Raw genomic sequence first — 18468 nt, forward strand, 5'->3', positions numbered from 1 at the left:
GGAGATCGAGACCATGCTGGCTAACATGGTGAAACCCTGTCTCTACTAAAAATACAAAAACAAAATTAGCCGGGCGTGGTGGCAGGCGCCTGTAGTCCCAGCTACTCGGGAGGCTGAGGCGGGAGAATGGCGTGAACCCGGGAGGCGGAGCTTGCAGTGAGCCGAGATTGCGCCACTGCACTCCAGCCTGGGTGACAGAGTGAGACTCCGCCTCAAAAAAAAAAAAAAAAAAAAAAAAACTTTGAAGATTTCAAGGGTTGGACTTGCTATGAAAGACAATCAAGTGAAGACTAATGATCCACCTCCTCACCTCCCTCACCCTACGCCCATATTCTTTCCACAGAGACAAAATTGCTTTTACCAGTGACATCAAGAACTATTCAAGATTCACCTACATAGTAATTATCCCAGGAATTTCACTTGCAGCTACTACTGTACTGAGTCTCCCAATTTAGCGAAGAAATGAAATTAAGTAAAAATGTGGCCAAGCGCAGTGACTCACGCCTGTAATCCCAGCACTTTGGGAGGCCAAGGCAGGCGGATCACGAGGTCAAGAGATTGAGACCATCCTGGCCAACAGATCGAGACCATCCTGGCCAACATGGTGAAACCCCGTCTCTACTAAAAATACAAAAATTAGCTGGGTGTGGCGGTGCACGCCTGTAATCCCAGCTACTCGGGAAGCTGAGGCAGGAGAATCGCTTGAACCCGGGAGGTGGAGGTTGCAGTGAGCCGAGATCGCGCCACTGCACTCCAACCTGGCAACAGAGGGAGACTCCGTCTCAAAAAAAAAAAAAAAAAAGATGTACTCTACTTTTTCTCAGACTCCAAGAGTACCATACTTTGTCCTAAAGTAATACAGCATCTGAGTATGCGGTCTGGGTTACAGCAAGGTCCTGGACTGAACATTTAAAACAAGAATAATGACAACAATAATACACACACACATATTCTTAATAAAATGTTCTTTAATGTGATATATATATGTGTGTGTGTAAAACGTCTGGTGAAAAAAGAAAAAAGCAGAAACTGAAGATTTCTAACTGAAAAAATTCTTCTGATCATCCATGTAAAAACTTCCACAAGTAGTCAACAATAAAATGTTACTTAAATATTACTAATGAGACATTCATGAATTTGAATAAACAAAATGCTTCATGCTTGTAAAGAACACAATATATAACTTTAAAAATCCCATTTATCTAAAAATATACACACTATCTACAATACAGCAGAAAAACATTTCCTTTTTCATATATTAAAACTAAATGTTACCAACTAATGTGACAATTAGAATTTTCAATCCTATTTAAAACTTTGGGCCCGTAAAGGAAAATGAACACCACAACAGTTAAAATGTAGATTTTCGGGGCGGGAAACTTTTTCAAATTATGTATGAACAGGCTGAACATGACAAGTAAATGCTTCAAAGTATATGAGAAAAATTAGAAACCATAAGATAAAAATGTAAATACTAAAGTCTTTCCTATCATAGAGAATAGAAATCAAGGTCATACCAATAACTTACTAATTTACTCTTCTATGAAGGTTTTCCTCCATTTTTGTTTTCAAATTATTATTTGGTTTAAGTTGCCATCACACTTCCACCCACATCATCAAGTCTTTCTCAAACACGAGCATTATCAAAGACAGAGTGGCACTAGTGAAAGCCTATTTCGTTATTTTCCTATTTCTCCTCTCCATTTGCAGAGCAAATGAATATCTGAAGTCTTTATAATCTCTTTTCAATTAAAAAAGAAAATGGAAAAAGAAAAAGAAAATCCGGGACACAAAGTTTGAGTCTATTAATAAAGACACAACAAAAGAGGGTCTTAAATGGGAACTGCTCCCTTGCCCCGAGAAACTTAGAATAACACTGTACTCAGAAGGTTCACATTATAATTATGGCTGAGAAAGGAGAAGCATACAAAAGGGTCTCTTTTTGAATAATGACTCCAGAAGCTCAATTAATAAAATCTTGTCAATAAACACATATGCGTTCTAGTATCTTCACTTCAATCCATAATTAATTATCTTTTCCAGGTCTCATCTACTGGAAGCATAAGTGAAAGCATAACACTTTAATCCGGATGAGTAGCGGCATAATATTAGGGAAATTTCAAACAATTAGGCAATTAAAACTACATGAATGTACTAACTAGTAGGATAAATCCCTATACTCTGAATTTCTAAGATTAAAAAGGTGATACTAAAAATAAGGTATCTTCACATTTATACTTCATATTTTTAGAAAGAAAAATTAACTTTATTTGATGCATAGTTTGAGAGAATTTTTTAAAAAGAACTTTCTAAAACAAACTTTCAGATTGCTTCCGTAAATTTAATGCTAAAACAATTCCAAACTAAATTCCAAATACAACTGACAGAACTAAGCTGACTACATAGGAATTAGCAAAGCAACACTGCAGTACTATGCAGAAAAAACAATTTGTTAAAAAGACTGTGCACAGAAAACATCCCATGCTGGTAGCTACTCTAAAGTGAAGTAAAAAGAACTGCATCATACAAAAATACAAAAAAAAAAGAATAAAAGACTCTTTCTATATCAACAGCAGTTAATGCTTCAACTACTACTAACAGCTGGAGAAATAGCTCCACCTCTATATGAGATGGAGTTGGGAGAGATGAGGAGGTGAGGAAGACTATCATCCACTGAAAACCAACTCTCTAAGTAAATTTAAGTTAAACAATGTGTTTCCTCTATGTAAATGCCAATGCATATTATAAATACTGATGATATTACAATTTTAATAATTTGTAAAGATGTTAAGATACCATCCACTTGCTGGATTTTTAGTATGTTAAATTCATATTACAAATATGAAAATCACATAAGCTTGCAAATCTCAAAATATGCAATGTTCATTTAGAATGACCAGTAATCAGGAAGCCAGTAAGAGGCATACATTTGATAAAACTGAATCCTACCAGATGCACAGAGTGAAAGCCTTAGTTTCAGAGTGCAACTATTTTTAAAGCCGCAATTGTTACAAGCTTGCATCAACTTTGCTAGTCTCTAGTTGAAACTGTCATCTGTTATAATCTAAATAGTTCATTAAGAAAATAAAAATTATTTGAAAATCTATAGATTGTATTCACAAAACGCTCCAATATATTGTACTAAAGCCAGTAATTTCAAATGTTACAGAACTAGACCCCGCTAACTGGCACCATATACCCATAGACTGAACTGCATAAGTATTTATTCTCCAACGGTATCGCGGACTTCGAAAACTTGAGGTGTAAAGATGTTTTCCAAATTTTTAAAACTACTTTAAAAATCCAAAAATCTTAAGAGACTTCATACTCCCATAATTTTCAAAGTAGTTCGAATTACCTGAAAGCCCCATAGTATAACCAAATACCTTAAGACTACCCTTCACAAACAACATCTTACCAACATAATTCAAGTATTATCAACTCTAAATAATTTTCAAACCACATAAATTGCGTTAGCCTATTACAGAGAGATAATGCCGCCAAACAGACTCTCTTCTTTCTATTCCACTTTCCCCCGTTTCTGACAGTTGCCAAAACTACCTACCTAAGGCTTGTGAAGATAAAGTAGCACTCAATTCCCAGGACCTAAATCGTTATCACTGCTGAGGGAAAAAAAAAAAAACAAGACCAATCACAAGTAAGATGTTTTTCTCTAACAGATCTGGAATGAGTATAGAGGAAGATTCTAAATTTAAGCCCAAATTGCTGCACCCTTCCATCGCACACAAATACGAACACCATACAAGGGTTCCCGTGCTTACATCAAATGGTAACGAGGGGTACAGCCTATTGTCTGAGTCTACTTATCGCCCTTAGACAAATGCCAGAATCATAATCAGAGTGAGAAATTACGCCTGAGCACAGGGGGCTATTGCAGAGTTAAGGGTGGGATGCTCAAGGAAAGCTCAAAATCCCAGTGACTCAAGCAAAGACGGGGGGGGGTAACCCGGGCCTCCGCATTACGGGTCCGCTCAATGCCTTCCCCAGATACCCACACCAATTCACAGAACGCTTACTTCCTCCCCAAGCTCCCTTCGCAAGTGCAGTCCGGAGGCACCACCGCCGCCGCCGCTCCGAGGAGCGGGGGAGGCGACTCTGTCCCCGCGCCTGGACCCAGGAGGACGACGACGAGGAGAAAGCGATGCGCGCGCGGCTCCCGGGAACCGGCTCTTGGCTAGCGAGGAGCCCCCGGGATGGCTGAGAAGCAGAACCAACCCGCCCGCCGCCTCTCCAGGGTCAAGCGAAACTGGGTCGCAGGAAGAAAAATAACGAAGAGATTGTAGATTAAGAAAAGGCAACAAAAACACTACCAGGCCGCTAGGAGGACCGCCTCAAAATGCCGCCGGAAGTCAGAGGTTTGCCCTGTTCCTCTGTAGACCCAGGCAGCTTCCGGCCGTCAGATTAGTCGTCAGTGCGCAGACACCACCCTTCGTGGACACGCCCTCTAGGCGTAAGGTTCCATGCGAGCGGTAAGAGTGCGGCGGGACTTGGAAATCGAATCTGTGCTCTGTGAGAGATCCTAGGAAAGGAAACTGGGAGCCCGGGAGAACTAAAATTCCCAATTAAAAGTGAATTTAAGTGAGTTTTCTCTTTTTATTACATAATTCCTTACCATAAACAGCTGTTGTAAATGCGCAAAATGCGGCATTTGTTGACAGTACCTAGAGCCACTCATTCATTCGTTCAACAGTGTTTATTGAGCAGCTGAGCTGGAATGAGAGGCTATGTTTGTCGTTTTTGACACCCCTCCCCTTTCTGGGCCATCGCCTAATTACCGTGGAGCAAACGGAATGCATGGTTGTATTTCTAAAGGCACAAGCAGAAATTTATTGAAAATTTGGAGCAGAAATCTTTAATGTACTTCTGACCACCCTTCCTTTTGTTGAGTAGGATCCAATGATCAGCGTGAGATGATCATTGATTAAACTTGCTTGAGATGGCTAGTCAAACGTCGAAACTTGCTTGAGATGGCTAGTCAAACGTCGAAAATCAAAGAAAAAGTAGGTAACTAGACTTTTACAATTTTTTTTAAAGGGTAAAAAGACATGAACCCTAGTCTGCCTTAATGGCAAAGTAGCACTTATTAGGTTCTCTGACAGAACCAAGGAATAGGAAAATCTTTTATCAAAACTACGGATAAAACTTAAAAATAATTTGATACAATGATTTGGTCTTGCTGGAATCAGTAAATTAAAATACGGAAGCAGAATGATAAAATCAGGGGCATTAAACATTCCTAATGACATGCCAAGCTATTTTAGAGACAGCGGCAAAAGCTTCTCTACAGGTGGGTTTGATGTAACGCTCCGGCAGCAAGAATCCGTATGTGCCCGTATCTCGAAGTTCAATTGTAAACGAATATTTGATGCCCAAATCATAGATCCAATCGTCCCCACCTCCAGGAGCTAGGTCTAAAAGAAGAAGAAAGAAATTGTTGAAATACAGACGTTTCAAATTAATTTACAAACTGGGAATTGTTTGATTTAAATGTTTATTTGTTTGTATACCTTTAGATTTTTTTCAGTTTTTAACTAATATAAACAACTTTACAATGAGTACCCTTGTTTATACATAATTGCTTCTTTGTCTCTTTAGAATATTCTTCCCTAGAATAGATTTGCTAGTCTAAGGCTCTGTACTTTTTGCAATTACGGCATGTTCCCAAATGGACGTCAAAAGAACTGAATTCATTTATACTTCCACAAGCAGGGTATGAATTTGCCCATTTCCCCTTCCCATACCATCAATAGGAATTATGAATTCTGATAATTTTATGGGCGAAAAATAATATCCAACTGTCTTAATTTATGTTTTTTGATTATCAGTGAGTTGCACATTTGTTTGGCATATTTATTGGCTATCTTTATATTTCCTATCAATTGTCCTTCCTCATTTGTCTACTTGGTTCATTTTATCAATTGCTTATAAAAACGACATTAGTGTTATTAGCTTTGTTTGGCATGTAGACCTTTTTTTCTCCTTTCATTCATTTCTCCTTTCACAAGAATTTTTTCTCCTTACTGAGATTTCAACTTGGTTTATGCAGGGTTTTCATATGAAAATATATGCTGTACCTGGAATTTACTTTGGTGAAAGACATGTTAATAATCCAATTAATTTTTTTCTAGGTAACTTGTTAGGTTTTCCAACCGCATTAATTGAATAATCTGACTTTTTTTGGGGGGGTGCTAAATTGAGTCCAGGTTTATGGCAAAGTCTGACCCAAAATTTTAATTTATAATTTTAGCATCTATCTAATACAGTTTGGGAAGCATCTCATGAAAGCTACAATTGCCAGAAGACTTGTTACAGTTTAATGCATGTTAACTAAAATGTGTACATATTTTAGTGTTCATGATAAATACAGTTTCGACCTTTTTTGAGATGGAGTCTCACTCTGTCACCCAGGCTAGAGTGCAGTTGCACAATCTCAGCTCATTGCCACCCCCACCTCCCAGGTTCAAGTAATTCTTATGCATTAGCCAACCAAGTAGCTGGCATTACAGGCGCCTGCCACCATGCCCAGCTAATTTTTGTATTTTTAGTAGAGACAGGGTTTCACCATGTTGGCCAGTCTGGTCTCGAACTCCTGACCTCAAGTGATCCTCCTGCCTCAGCCTCCCAAAGTGCTGGTATTACAGGCATGAGCCACAGCACCTGGCCTCTTTTTGTTTTTTTCTAATCATTAAAAAAAAAAAAAAAAGGAAAAACCTGGATTTGGCCTTCAGGCTGTAGTTTTCTGATGCCTGGTTACAGGTTTATTTTATGCTCCTCTTTTCCCATCTCCCTTCAAACTTCAAAAGGGCAAAATCAGTCTGTCCTCCCACTGTGTGTAGATAGGAGTTACTCACTAAATATCTTTCAGCAAAAATTAATCAAAACTTTTTGTTAAGAGTTTGTCACAAGTTTTGTGTGTGTAATATATATTAAAGACAATCAACTGTAATGTGTTATGAGCTATACTCTTGGGAACAGGCTAACACTAAAAAACACTTGATGCAAATGGCATGCCCTAGATTAGTGTAGTGTACAACCTGCACAACCTTCCATGGTGGCCCTGGGAATCATGCAAAAGTTTTATGAACTTTTCTGCTTCACTCAACTAGTATGATGCCAATTCTGTAATTCCTACTTGATTGTGATAAATATGATTTCTTAAATAGGATTTTGGCTTCTTTTTAGTAACTCATTTATTAATATAGCTTTGTTCAGCATTGTCATAGCTATTATGCTTCTGTTCCTAATTATTACAATTCAGTTGTATTACATGTGACCCTATTTAATTCAGAAAAATTAAATACACAAAGAAAAACAGATCACACAGATTTCTTTAGTAGCTCAAAGTTCTCTAAGATCATAAGAAGAAATACTTACATAAGGTTTCTGAGCCATGGCCATGTGTATACCTGGTATTTTTACTAATTTTCTCAATAGCACGAACTGCTTCACTGGCTACTAGAGACTGGAAGCAACAAGATATAGAATTTCAGTTAATGTGCAGCTTTGAAACATGACAAGTAGAAGTTTCTAAAAAATAATCATACATTAATTGAATCAAAGTATACAGGTAGAAAATCTAGATTCATCTAAAAGGCAAATAAATAAGGTAAACAAATTAATTTAAAATATGTGCACTTTATGGCAATCACAATTGGGTGGCTTTAAACATAAACTATTTCAATATATTGAAATAATTTATATAAATAAATATATTAATTTGCAGAAAAAAATTATCACATGCCTTTTTGGGAACTCATTTATTATGGAAAATGAAGTATAACTACATCTCAAAGGCTTAGAGGTACTCCATTTCTGAACAAAATTATCACCAAACTTTAAATCCAACCTTTCTAAACACATACAAACACCTAATGCATGCATGACTCACTTCTTATCCTTCTCACAACTTCTATTTTCTTCTTGTGTAAAATGTCTAATGACTTCCATAGATTCATCAAATCAAAAAAGATTATGCCTCTGGTATGGAGCAGGATAATAACTAAGACCCCCATTTGACTTCATTTTGTCTGTTGATATTCATTTTGTCAAATCTATTCTGAAGTTCTCACTTATCTGGAACTTTTCGGAAATTGGAACTAGCATCATGGTATACACTGTCACCTTCTTGAAAAACTCAAGAGATTTATCAGCGGATATTATTTTATGCCATCTCATTGTTCAAAAAATAAGTTTTAATGTAACCCCATTGTCTACATAATGAAATACAAATTTATCTGACAGTCACACCCCTTCAGAAGCCAACCTAATCTACTTTCTGATGCTATCACCCTCCACTTTTGCATCCTCTTATGGTGAACACCAACTTCTTTGCTTGGAAGGTCCTTCCTTCCCTGTCTGCCTATAGAAATCCTCTTTCAATGCCTGTCTAAAATGTAGCTGATCTTTGACATCAACAGCACTTTATTATTTGTAGTTTTTCCCCCCCTTAATAGATTGTAAATTCCTCAAGGACAGTAACTACTTTATCTCCTCACTTATCTCAGCATTTCCCTCTGAATGCATTAGTGAAGCCATCCCTTGATATTCTAGTTAGAAGTGAGTTGTACTGTCTGTGCCACGTATTTAGTAGTTACTCTATGTCGCCTTAGAGTACAACTATTTGTAACATTTGCTAATGGTTGAGCTCCCTAACCATAACACATTCTCTTAAAGGGCAGGATTTTACCTAATGCTTCTTTAAACATCCATTGACAAGGTATTTTACACGTAATGGCTCTCAACATATATGTGTGCTGGCAGTGATGCAAAAAAAAAAAAGCATAATTAGACTAATTCTACTTCCCAAATCATGATAAATTTCCTTTTATTTCTTCAAAGATAATATTTTTGAAAGGTGCTTTCCTTAACAGTTTTCCCTTGAGAAGAAAAAAGCTCAAGTATCAAGTACATTTATGTTCTAAATGGGCTATTTTCAGAGAATGCAAATAATCTTATATTTGTCATCAGCAATTGCTAGCTCCTGTAATGTGACTATATTTTATTCTGTTAAGAGAGCCAGAAAAAAAAATGAGTCACTAAGAAACAAGCTACTACCTAAAAATTAGTCCCTTCCCAAGAATGGGGCTGTTGATGTAACACTTCCACTGTCTGGAGAGCATCTGGGATGAGGATTTGTCGAAGCCTAGCTACAATCCTTCAAGAATCCTTGCATCTTTTGCCATGAACCCAAACATACAGTATCTTGGACTAAAAAGTGCTAAGGGAGTATCAAATTGTGTGAGTCCTCTTTGAATTTCCTGTATTGTCTGTTATGTTCCAAAAAACAGACTCTCTCCTCAATGCTAAAATTGGAGGTACTTTAATAGGACCAAAACCCTGAGGGTTAGGGAAGTCAGGGCAGGAACAATTCCTGCTGCTAATACCAAAACAATGAGTGCTGTGTTGAGACTTAATCTGTGGTGTGCTGTTGTAGGAAGCTAGTGACCACAAAGCTGTCGCATGATTCCATACTCATCCTTGCTTATACCGCTTCACATGCAGATCAGGTCAAGTGTAGTAGTAGTTCCTTCCTAACCTTCAAGGAATTTGTCTGACATTTTCTTAGGAAGCCCACGTGCTGAATAAAGTGTGTGTTGTTAGGGTAAGGCACGTTCTTTATATTCCCTTAGAGAACACTGACCCAGGGTGACTCTCAACAGGATCACACCATGATTTAAAACATCTATCATTTGCCTTCTAGAGGACAAAATTTTTCCCAGTTTTTGATTCTTCAACTAAGTATTATTTTATTTCCAAAATGCTAATGAGAAAAATAATTAAGTAGCACTTACCAGTTCCTCATGGTCTTTGCTTTTACTTCGTGTATAGGAATATGGAAACACTATATGCTGGGAGTATGAATGCATGCTGATGTATGCTTTAATCTGGTTGATATTTCTTCTCAAGAAACTAGCCACTGCCTTCACTTCTGGTTCTGACTCAGGATAAAGTCCACAGTAGGTTTCCGAGCATGAGGAACTGGATGCACCTTCCTCTGTAACGAAATTGTTAAGGTGAAATTATGAGGGGATGCACATAGTACTGTAATTTGTGGTTTCCCAGACAACGTATTCTCCTACCTATGTTGCAACACTTTTAGATGAATGGATTAGGTAGGGCTCTGCAAAGAACATAGTTCCACTAAGTGTTATGTTTCTTTTGAAGTCAAATACTTATCTGCTCACATAGCTGACCTTCTAACAGTCATTCCCAGCACCTGTCTCCCTTGCAACCTTGAGAAAGTGGCTAAGAGATCCTCAGAGATGCCAGCCCTGTCTCCAGACTTATGGTTATGGGAGAAAAAATAAACCCCACTTTCCTTAATCCACTGTAAATTTAGTTTTTCTGATATTTGTAGTTTTAAAGCTACCATCAATATAGCCCATAAAAGAAAAGCCTCACTTCAGAGCTCAGAATATGTAAATCTGCCTTCAGTGCTACTTTTAACTTGCTAAAGTGGTTTAGTAAGTTTAGTAAATAAAATGGGATGGTGATATTTGTTGCCAGACCAACGTTCATTCATTCCTTTGATAGATTATAATTTGCATCACTTGAGATGGTAGGCTGCCTTCCAACACTTCTCCCCCTGTCCCTAATTCACAAGGTGAAGCCCCAGCAAGCTGCATCTGACACAAGAGATTATTCCTTCCTGCAAACAGTTGAGGGCTCAGGATTGGGTCTGACTCTTGTGCTTGCCAATCTGAATCCCTTCAAAGATAACTTGAAATCAATACTAAGAGTCTAGTCTCAGTCTAGCTGCTCTCTTGAACAGACAGTAAAAATAGTAATACTACCAGCTGACACCTGTGGAGCACATGCTGTACGTCAGGAACTCTGCTAAGATTTTTGCCACATCTCATGTAATTCTTACACCAGCCCTATGAAGTAAATACTGTCATTTTAGGAGATGCAATCTGGATATTCTTGGTGGTAACCACTCTTCAGAATAAGAGGCTATACAGCATATTGTTAAGCACCCAATTACTTGATTCTAAATCTTGACTACCATTTATTAGCTATATGGCTTTGGGTAAATTTTTAAAAATCTATCTGTATCTCAATTTCCTTATCTGCAAAATTGAAAAATTATACATTAAATGCTGATTGAATGAGAATTAAATGAGCTAGTTCATACAAAGTGCTTTGCACAGTGCCTGGCATGTAGTATGCATTTCATAACTGTTGCTGTTTATCATCATCATCATCATCATCATCATCATCATCATCATCATCATGTGGACTGAGACCTGAAAGAAGCCAGTGTGCATCACAGAGATGAGAAGGGGAGAGGAAGGATTCACTGAGCCTCTCTAGGGCTCCAGGCCCAGTTCCTTTCTGTTTCTGAGTCCAGCTGCATCTCTGCCTCAGGAGTCCATGGCTGAGGCTACTCACTATCCTTACAGAGCCTGCTTTTCTTAATTAAGCTCATTCTGCTTTATTCCTGTTATTATACAAACACAACATTAATGTTTGTTAAAAAATTGTTTCCCTGAGAGGAAATGTGAACATCTAAGGTCTTCCCAAGTATTTCATTTTTAACCAATAAGGTGATTGGATAAACCATTTTTGATAGTTCGGTCACCTTTGAATATTCCTGCCCTTTTATGTGATATATAATTCTTAGAGAATAGAGATTATATATTGGGTATGGAGGTCGGGGAAGACATAACCACTAAATAGAGAGGTGGTGCCCTAATATGAATCCTCAGACCAGGGTTGTTTAATAGAAATATAATGCAAGTCACATATTTACTTTAAATTTTCAAGTTACCACTTTAAGAAAAATAAAAAGAAGGCCAGGCACGGTGGCTCACACCTATAATCCCAGCACTTTGGGAGGCTGAGGCAGGCGGATCACTTGAGATCAGGAGTTCGACACCAGCGAGGCCAACATGGTGAAACCCCGTCTCTACCAAAAATACAAAAATAGCCAGGCATAGTGGTGCACGCCTGTAATCCCAGCTACTTGGGAGGCTGAGGCACGAAACTTGCTTGAACCCAGGAGGCAGAGGTTGCAGTGAGCTGAGATCATGACACTGCACTCCAGCCTGGATGACAGAACAAGACCCTGCCACACACACACACACACAAAAAGAAATATGTGAGATTAATTCAATATTGTAATTTATTTAACCAAATATGTACAAAGTATCATTTCAAGTGTAACCAATATAAAAATTATTCTTGAAATATTTTATGTTACTTTTTTCATACTAAGCCTTCAAATTCTGGTGTGTATTTAACACTCAGTGTATGTCTCAATTCAGACAAGCTACATTTTAAGCACTGGATAGCCACATGTGGTTAGTGGCTACTATGCTGGACAGTGAGCCTCAGATTCTCATTCTATGATTGTCATTCTAGAGATTTCAAGCATTTTAGTGGAAAGAGCCCTGAAGAGGCAGGAAACTTGAGGTCGAGACTCTGCTTTACCATTAAGCAGTCATGTTAATTTGGGCAACTACTTCATCGTCTCAGCCTCAGGGGCCTCATCTGTACCAGGAAGGAACTTGGGCCACTGGATCCCTCCAAGCTCAAGCATTCTTTGATCTATAGACATGGAACCAAGCACACTGTGAAATATCTATAATAGGCAAATTCATAGAGACAGAAAGTAGATAAGAAATTACCAAGGGCTGGGGAGAAGGTAGGGATGAGGAGATATTGCCTACTGGTTACAATAAGTAAAAATCTCTCTTTGGGACAATTAAAAAATTTTAGTAATAGATAGTAGTAATTGTGAATGTACTTAATGCCACTGAACTGTACAATTAAAAATTGTTAAAATGGCAAATTTTATATTGCATGTATTTTATCATAATAAAAAATAATTTTAAAAAACACTATAGTCTCCTAGAAAAAGAAATAAAGAATTTTCCATTCAAGCCAGTTGCAAAAACTTTGTAGTTGAACTCAGTGTTTTAGAAAATGTGTGGTGCTATCTTAGGAAGTTTGAGACCAAAGGTTCTCATAATGTACTCCTGTTATGAACTGAATTGCATCCTCCCAAATTCCTATGTTGAAGCCCTAAGCCCCAATGTGACTGTATTTAAAGATAAGGCCTTTAAGGAGACAAAGTGAAATGAAGTCATAGGCATGGGGCTCTAATCCAATGTGACTGGTGCCCTTATAGGAATAAAGAGAGACACCAGGGAGGTTTGTGCAGAAAGAGAAGGCCATGTGAGGGCACAGAGAGAAGGCAGCCATCTACAAGCCAATGAGAGAATCCTCAGGAAGACCTCACTCTGCTGGTACCTTGATTTTGGACTCCCAATCCTCAACTGTGAGAAAATAAATTTCTGTTGTTTAAGCCACCCAACCTATGGTATTTGGTTATAGCAGCCTGAGAAGACAAAGACACCCCTACAACCTACCCTCCACTCTCATCTCCAACACACACACACACAAAATTTTAATACAGAGGAGCATAAAATGAGTAAGTAGGTTTGATATGTCACTTCCTGTTAATAAGTGAGGTGTTTTTGGATCCTTTATATAAAGAATCATAGGGGCACATTCTAGTTGTAGGGATGAGAAAAGATTAAATTCTTCTTTCTCACTGTCTTGCTTACATAGTACAGAATAGATACTGGAACAGTTGGTAATAAGGACAGTTCCTTACAATTACTTTTTATTTGGTTTTTTTTTTTTTTTTTTTAGTTAAAAACCCATATGCTTGCTGCTTCTGTTTCTGTTTTTCACTCTTATGATACATAACAATATAGCACCATGCCCAAGAGGGGACTGAGACATTTCTTGATGACAATAACAGAATATATTTTGACTACTTGGCTATCCAAATTAAATAACACTGACTTCACCAAGAAAAATATTAAGTAAAATCAAGCACCAAAAGAGCTTGAAGATAAAATAAAAACTTCCAAAAGGGAACTGATAACTTGGGTTTATAGCCCAGCTCTGCCACGTACTTGCACATACTTGCTACGTGCCCTTGAGGAAGGGACTTAACTGTTTTCAGCCCGGGTTTCTCCATCTATGATTCATAGATAATGAAATCTGGAAGATGAACTATGTCAATGGCTCAGCGCTGAGTAACTGTCAGCTCTATTTACTTAGATTCTTTTTACATGGCTGCTGTTCCTGTGAGCCCCTGGCATGTTATTAGTGCCACAGCAAACTTTGGGCCTCTGGGAACACGAGTGGTTTTTTAGGGAGAAACCACTAAATGATTCCCTGGAACCTAAGTCGGGATGAACTGCTTCTTCCTCTGAGTTCCTACCATATCTGTAGCTCTCAGAGCAACTAAATTCATTCATGGACTCATTTAGTTAATATTTTATGAGGACCCTCCTTGTGCCAGGCACTGCACTAGATAATGGGTATTGGTTTCTGTCTGCATGGAGTTTCTAACCTAGACAGGGAAAAAAATAAGGAAATAAGGTAAGTGCTTTGTTGTGAGGTTTGGTTTTCTTTTGTTTTAGCAATCAGCTTTCCCAGGCTGAATGTTGTGAGGTTTTAATAGGTATTCTGGGATTTTGATAAAATGTTTAAAATCATGAAATTTTACCTTTTTTAAAGGAAATAGGCAAAATTATGTGCATAGGATTGTATAGGGTCCAGGTCTGGGAGGAAGAAGATGTTTCTGTGGATACAATAGCTTCTCTCCCTTATGGGCCCCATGGAGCCCAAAAATATAGATGATGCATACTCCTTGTCAGGTTAGTTTATTTTCGTAGCTGTTTCTGAAATGTAGTACTATGAAAAATAATGTTGAGTGGGTGGGAAGAAAGAGTGAACTAACACCTACCCCCCTAAAAGCAAACTTCTTTGTCTTCGGGTTCAGGGGGTACATGTGCAGGTTTTTTCCATGGATATATTGTGTGATGCTGAGGTTTGGGATTCTATTGAACCCATCACCCAAATGGTGAACACAGTACCACTTAGGTACTTTTTCAACTCTTTCCCCTCTCTCTCCTTCCCTGCCCCTTTTTTGAGTCCCCAGTGTCTATTCCCATCTTTATGTCTGTGTATACTCAGTGTTTAGCTTTTACTTATAAGTGAGACCATACAGTATTTGATTTTCTGTTTCTGTGTTAATTTACTTAGGACAATGCCTTCCAGCTGCATCCATGTTGCTGTAAAGGACATAATTTTGTTCTTTTTTATGGCTGTGTAGTATTCCATGATGTATATTTACCACATTTTCTTTATCCAATCCGCCATTGACAGACACCTAGATTGATTCCATGTCTTTGCTCTTGTGAATAGTGCTGCAATGAACATATGATTGCATGTGTCTTTTGGGTAGATCGATTCATTTTCCTATGAGTATATACTCAGTGATGAGATTGCTGAGTCAAATAGTAATTCTACTTTTAGTTCTTTAAAAAATCTTCAAACTCCTGAAAGCAGACTGTTCTTGAATGCATAACTCAACATCATCGAATGCCTTAACTCATTCGAATTAAGAAATAATAAATTCCCACTGTGCTGCTTTTTATACTATTTTTAATATTTTTATATTTTCTTTATATTATTTATTAAAGAAATTAAGAAAGTGAATAGTGAAAAAAATGTCTTCAAACACTATAGAAGTAAACATTTACTTGTGCAATTAAAAATGAGGGGTCCAGGCCAGGCACAGTGGCCCACTCCTGTGAGCCACTTTGGGAGGCCGAGGTGGGCGGATCACTTAAGGCCAGGAGTTTGAGACCAGCCTGGCCAACATGGTGAAATCCCATCTGTACTAAAAAAAATACAAAAATTAGCCAGGCACGGTGGCATATGCCTGTAGTCCCAGCTACTTGGGAGGCTGAGGCAGGAGAATCCTTGAACCTAGGAGGCAGAGGCTGCAGTGAGCCAAGATTGTGCCACTGCACTCCAGCCTGGTCAACACAGCAAGACTCTGTCTCAAAAAAAAAAGAGAGGTCCTCCCCCCATCTCAGGTCTTTGATATTCTAATGATGAATGTTTTTGTTTATTAAAATAGGATCTTTAACTGTCACTTCTTTATTATTCCAAGATAATAGATTTTAGAATTTTGAAGCTAGAAGGGATCTTAAAAAACTGATTCAACTTTCTTATTTTAAAGATAGGGAAACAGGAGAGAGGAGAGGCCAAAGTGATTTGCTGACTCTGGCCAACAGTCGCAGCATTACATTTACCTAAGCATTTATCATTTAAATTATTCCCTGATTCAGACAGGCCAGCTCTGTATTTAATTTGAATTCATGGGCCTTTCCCTGTGAACATCACCCTTTCAGTGAAGAGACATTGCAAGAAATAAAGCCAACAACCTACCACACCAGTGTTTGGAAGCAAAGTTCCTATTCAGGTCTGTTCCGATGCAATGATTGTTCGCATAGAAAGAACGGTTCTTTCTCCACATTCGATTCTACATAAACAAAATACAAACAGACAACCTGGGTAGCCACGTTCAAGGCCTGAGGAAAGACATGCATTTGAAAGTCCATGAAGCCAGAATTGCCTTTCTCTCCTTCAATCCCATACCTTGCATGGCTTCATCACATCACTGTTGTTGCAATATTCCTTTGCACGGTCCCTATTGCTATCCGGGTTTCAATCACATCCACTCAGACTATTTTAGTTGAACCAAACATAATGGTAATATTTGATCAATTTTGACTGATACAAATAAAGATTTCCTTTCATTCCACTAGGCTGCTTATTAGCCTTCTTGTTTAGTCTTGTTTCCTTTACATTAATTTTATGCACAGGGTCATTCTGAGCTCCTTCGAAGAAAAGCAAAATAACTTTGTGTCTCAACTGAACGCTGAGTCATAAGTTAAAATGCTCTCTTTAGGTAGAATTCACCACTCCCCTTTCAAAGCTAGAAAAGGTGGAGATGTGAAGACACCTTTAATCTGATGACTTCTTCGATTGTGCTGATTTGACTCTGGTTTTTAAATATAAAGCAAATTCCCTATTGGGTTCTTGGGGTAAACTGGGAAAGTTTGGTCATGTAAAGAGTTGCACAGGCCGGGCGCGGTGGCTCACGCCTGTAATCCCAGCACTTTGGGAGGCCGAGGCGGGCGGATCACGAGGTCAGGAGATCGAGACCATTCTGGCTAACACGGTGAAACCCCATCTCTACTAAAAATACGAAAAAATTAGCCAGGCGTGGTGGCGGGCACCTGTAGTCCCAGCTACTCGGGAGGCTGAGGCAAGAGAATGGCATGAACCTGGGAGGCGGAGCTTGCAGTGAGCCGAGATCTTGCCACTGCACTCCAGCCTGGGCGACAGAGCAAGACTCCGTCTCAAAAAAAAAAAAAAAAAAAAAAAAGAGTTGCACATACTTCATTTAAGTTCTGAGTTTGGGATGATGTAGCACCCTTTTCTCCTACTCTCACCAACCCTCCGCCAAGCCTTCCAGCCTGTTACCACTCCCAGGCCTGTGGTTCCGTGGCAACAATAGGCCCTGGGGATATCAAGTTCTCAAACTGTGGGAATTAATAATAGGGTAATGATACAAAGAACAGTTGGGAAGCTGGAAATCTAAAGGGTGACTGAATTCCACTGTGATTCAGGTTAAGGTGTAAATATACTTTATTACCAGTTTACAGATATGACCATTCATTGGACACCAAATTTGTGTTAGGCATTATGCTAGGTAATTCTCATTTACTTAGTTTGGCATTTGCCCACCTCCACCTACAAAATTTTCAGTTACAGTATTCCTCTCACCAGAGATGACTTTTTCCTCAATCTCCTGTGCCATTTCCATATCTTCTGCATAAATTACCTCCTACATGAAATAATTCATGTGTAATTCCATGTTTCCAATCACACCAACTAATCTTATTCCTCTTAGTATTTATATGTGCTACTCAAGTAGGTTTTTCTAAATTTATATATACCTAGTTATGTTTCTATGTGCCCCTCTTTAAATTAGAAAGCAGAGTATTTCATATTGCTTGAGTAATTTTACATGAATCACAATGTTGAGTAACCAGAAAATACAGACAGAAGAGCATGTTAAACTACAAGATGGTAATGCAATTAGCAAATCCTGATAATGGGAAACTCTTTTCTTTGACAAATAAATTGCAAGGAAAAAAAGAAGAGAGAGAAAGAGCAAAAGATGGAATGTGAGTTCATGGATTAAAATAGAATTAAAAGACATATAAACCAATCATAATGTAAGAGCCTTATTTGGATCCAGAATCAAAGAAACATACTTTTTAAAAAGTTAGGAGGCCGGGCGAGGTGGCTCATGCCTGTAATCTCAGCACGTTGGGAGGCCGAGGCAGGTGCATCACAAGGGCAGGAGTTTGAGACCAGCCTGGCCAATATGGTGAAACCCTGTCTCTACTAAAAATACAAAAAGCTTAGCCAGGCATGGTGGCAGGCACCCGTAGTCCCAGTGGCTCAGGAGGCTGAGGCAGAAAAATCTCTTGAACCCGGGAGGTGGAGGTTGCAGTGAGCCGAGATCGTGCCACTGCACTCCAGCCTGGGCGACAGAGCAAG

General features: G+C 38.5%; 2 protein-coding genes and 1 long non-coding RNA gene across 33 annotated transcripts in view, besides 4 other annotated features; 1 reads left to right on the forward strand and 2 right to left on the reverse strand.

Annotated features, from left to right (window-relative positions):
• The window catches only part of ZC3H13 (zinc finger CCCH-type containing 13), a 98282-nt gene extending 93902 nt beyond the window's left edge, over positions 1-4380 (reverse strand). For 10 of the 28 annotated variants that reach the window (NR_167893.1, NM_001382214.1, XM_047430207.1 and 7 more), the window contains exon 1: positions 4332-4380. The gene's annotated coding sequence lies outside the window, so the exon portion shown is untranslated. Of the gene's footprint in view, positions 1-3565; positions 3624-4037 lie in introns of all 28 variants that reach the window. The other 18 variants (NM_001382210.1, NM_001382208.1, XM_047430205.1 and 15 more) reach the window with 3 other exon arrangements.
• Positions 3564-4100: an enhancer, noted in NCBI's record as "NANOG-H3K27ac-H3K4me1 hESC enhancer chr13:46626065-46626601 (GRCh37/hg19 assembly coordinates)". NCBI's record gives its function as "activates a minimal SCP1, AML or CMV promoter by ChIP-STARR-seq in primed H9 embryonic stem cells {active_cell/tissue: H9 hESC(primed)}" and the evidence as "EXISTENCE:reporter gene assay evidence [ECO:0000049][PMID:30033119]".
• Positions 4101-4636: an enhancer, noted in NCBI's record as "NANOG-H3K27ac-H3K4me1 hESC enhancer chr13:46626602-46627137 (GRCh37/hg19 assembly coordinates)". NCBI's record gives its function as "activates a minimal SCP1, AML or CMV promoter by ChIP-STARR-seq in primed H9 embryonic stem cells {active_cell/tissue: H9 hESC(primed)}" and the evidence as "EXISTENCE:reporter gene assay evidence [ECO:0000049][PMID:30033119]".
• Positions 4166-4335: an enhancer, noted in NCBI's record as "active region_7684". NCBI's record gives its function as "activates an Ori minimal core promoter by ATAC-STARR-seq in GM12878 lymphoblastoid cells {active_cell/tissue: GM12878}" and the evidence as "EXISTENCE:reporter gene assay evidence [ECO:0000049][PMID:35858748]".
• Positions 4346-4545: an enhancer, noted in NCBI's record as "active region_7685". NCBI's record gives its function as "activates an Ori minimal core promoter by ATAC-STARR-seq in GM12878 lymphoblastoid cells {active_cell/tissue: GM12878}" and the evidence as "EXISTENCE:reporter gene assay evidence [ECO:0000049][PMID:35858748]".
• The window catches only part of CPB2-AS1 (CPB2 antisense RNA 1), a 48500-nt gene continuing 34513 nt past the window's right edge, over positions 4482-18468 (forward strand). For both annotated transcript variants that reach the window (NR_046226.1, NR_046227.1), the window contains exon 1: positions 4482-4599. This is a non-coding gene — a long non-coding RNA (CPB2 antisense RNA 1). The remainder of the gene's footprint in view (positions 4600-18468) is intronic.
• Positions 4820-18468, reverse strand: part of CPB2 (carboxypeptidase B2) — a 51848-nt gene continuing 38199 nt past the window's right edge. For all 3 annotated transcript variants that reach the window (NM_001278541.2, NM_001872.5, XM_017020393.3), the window contains 4 exons: positions 16282-16375; positions 9813-10015; positions 7396-7483; positions 4820-5432 (listed from right to left, as the gene is read on the reverse strand). In NM_001278541.2, the coding sequence (NP_001265470.1) occupies positions 5248-5432; positions 7396-7483; positions 9813-10015; positions 16282-16375 (570 nt within the window). In that variant the 3' untranslated portion in view covers positions 4820-5247. The remainder of the gene's footprint in view (positions 5433-7395; positions 7484-9812; positions 10016-16281; positions 16376-18468) is intronic.

This window comes from Homo sapiens, chromosome 13 (genome assembly GCF_000001405.40).
Source record: "Homo sapiens chromosome 13, GRCh38.p14 Primary Assembly".
NCBI classification, from domain to species: domain Eukaryota; kingdom Metazoa; phylum Chordata; class Mammalia; order Primates; family Hominidae; genus Homo; species Homo sapiens.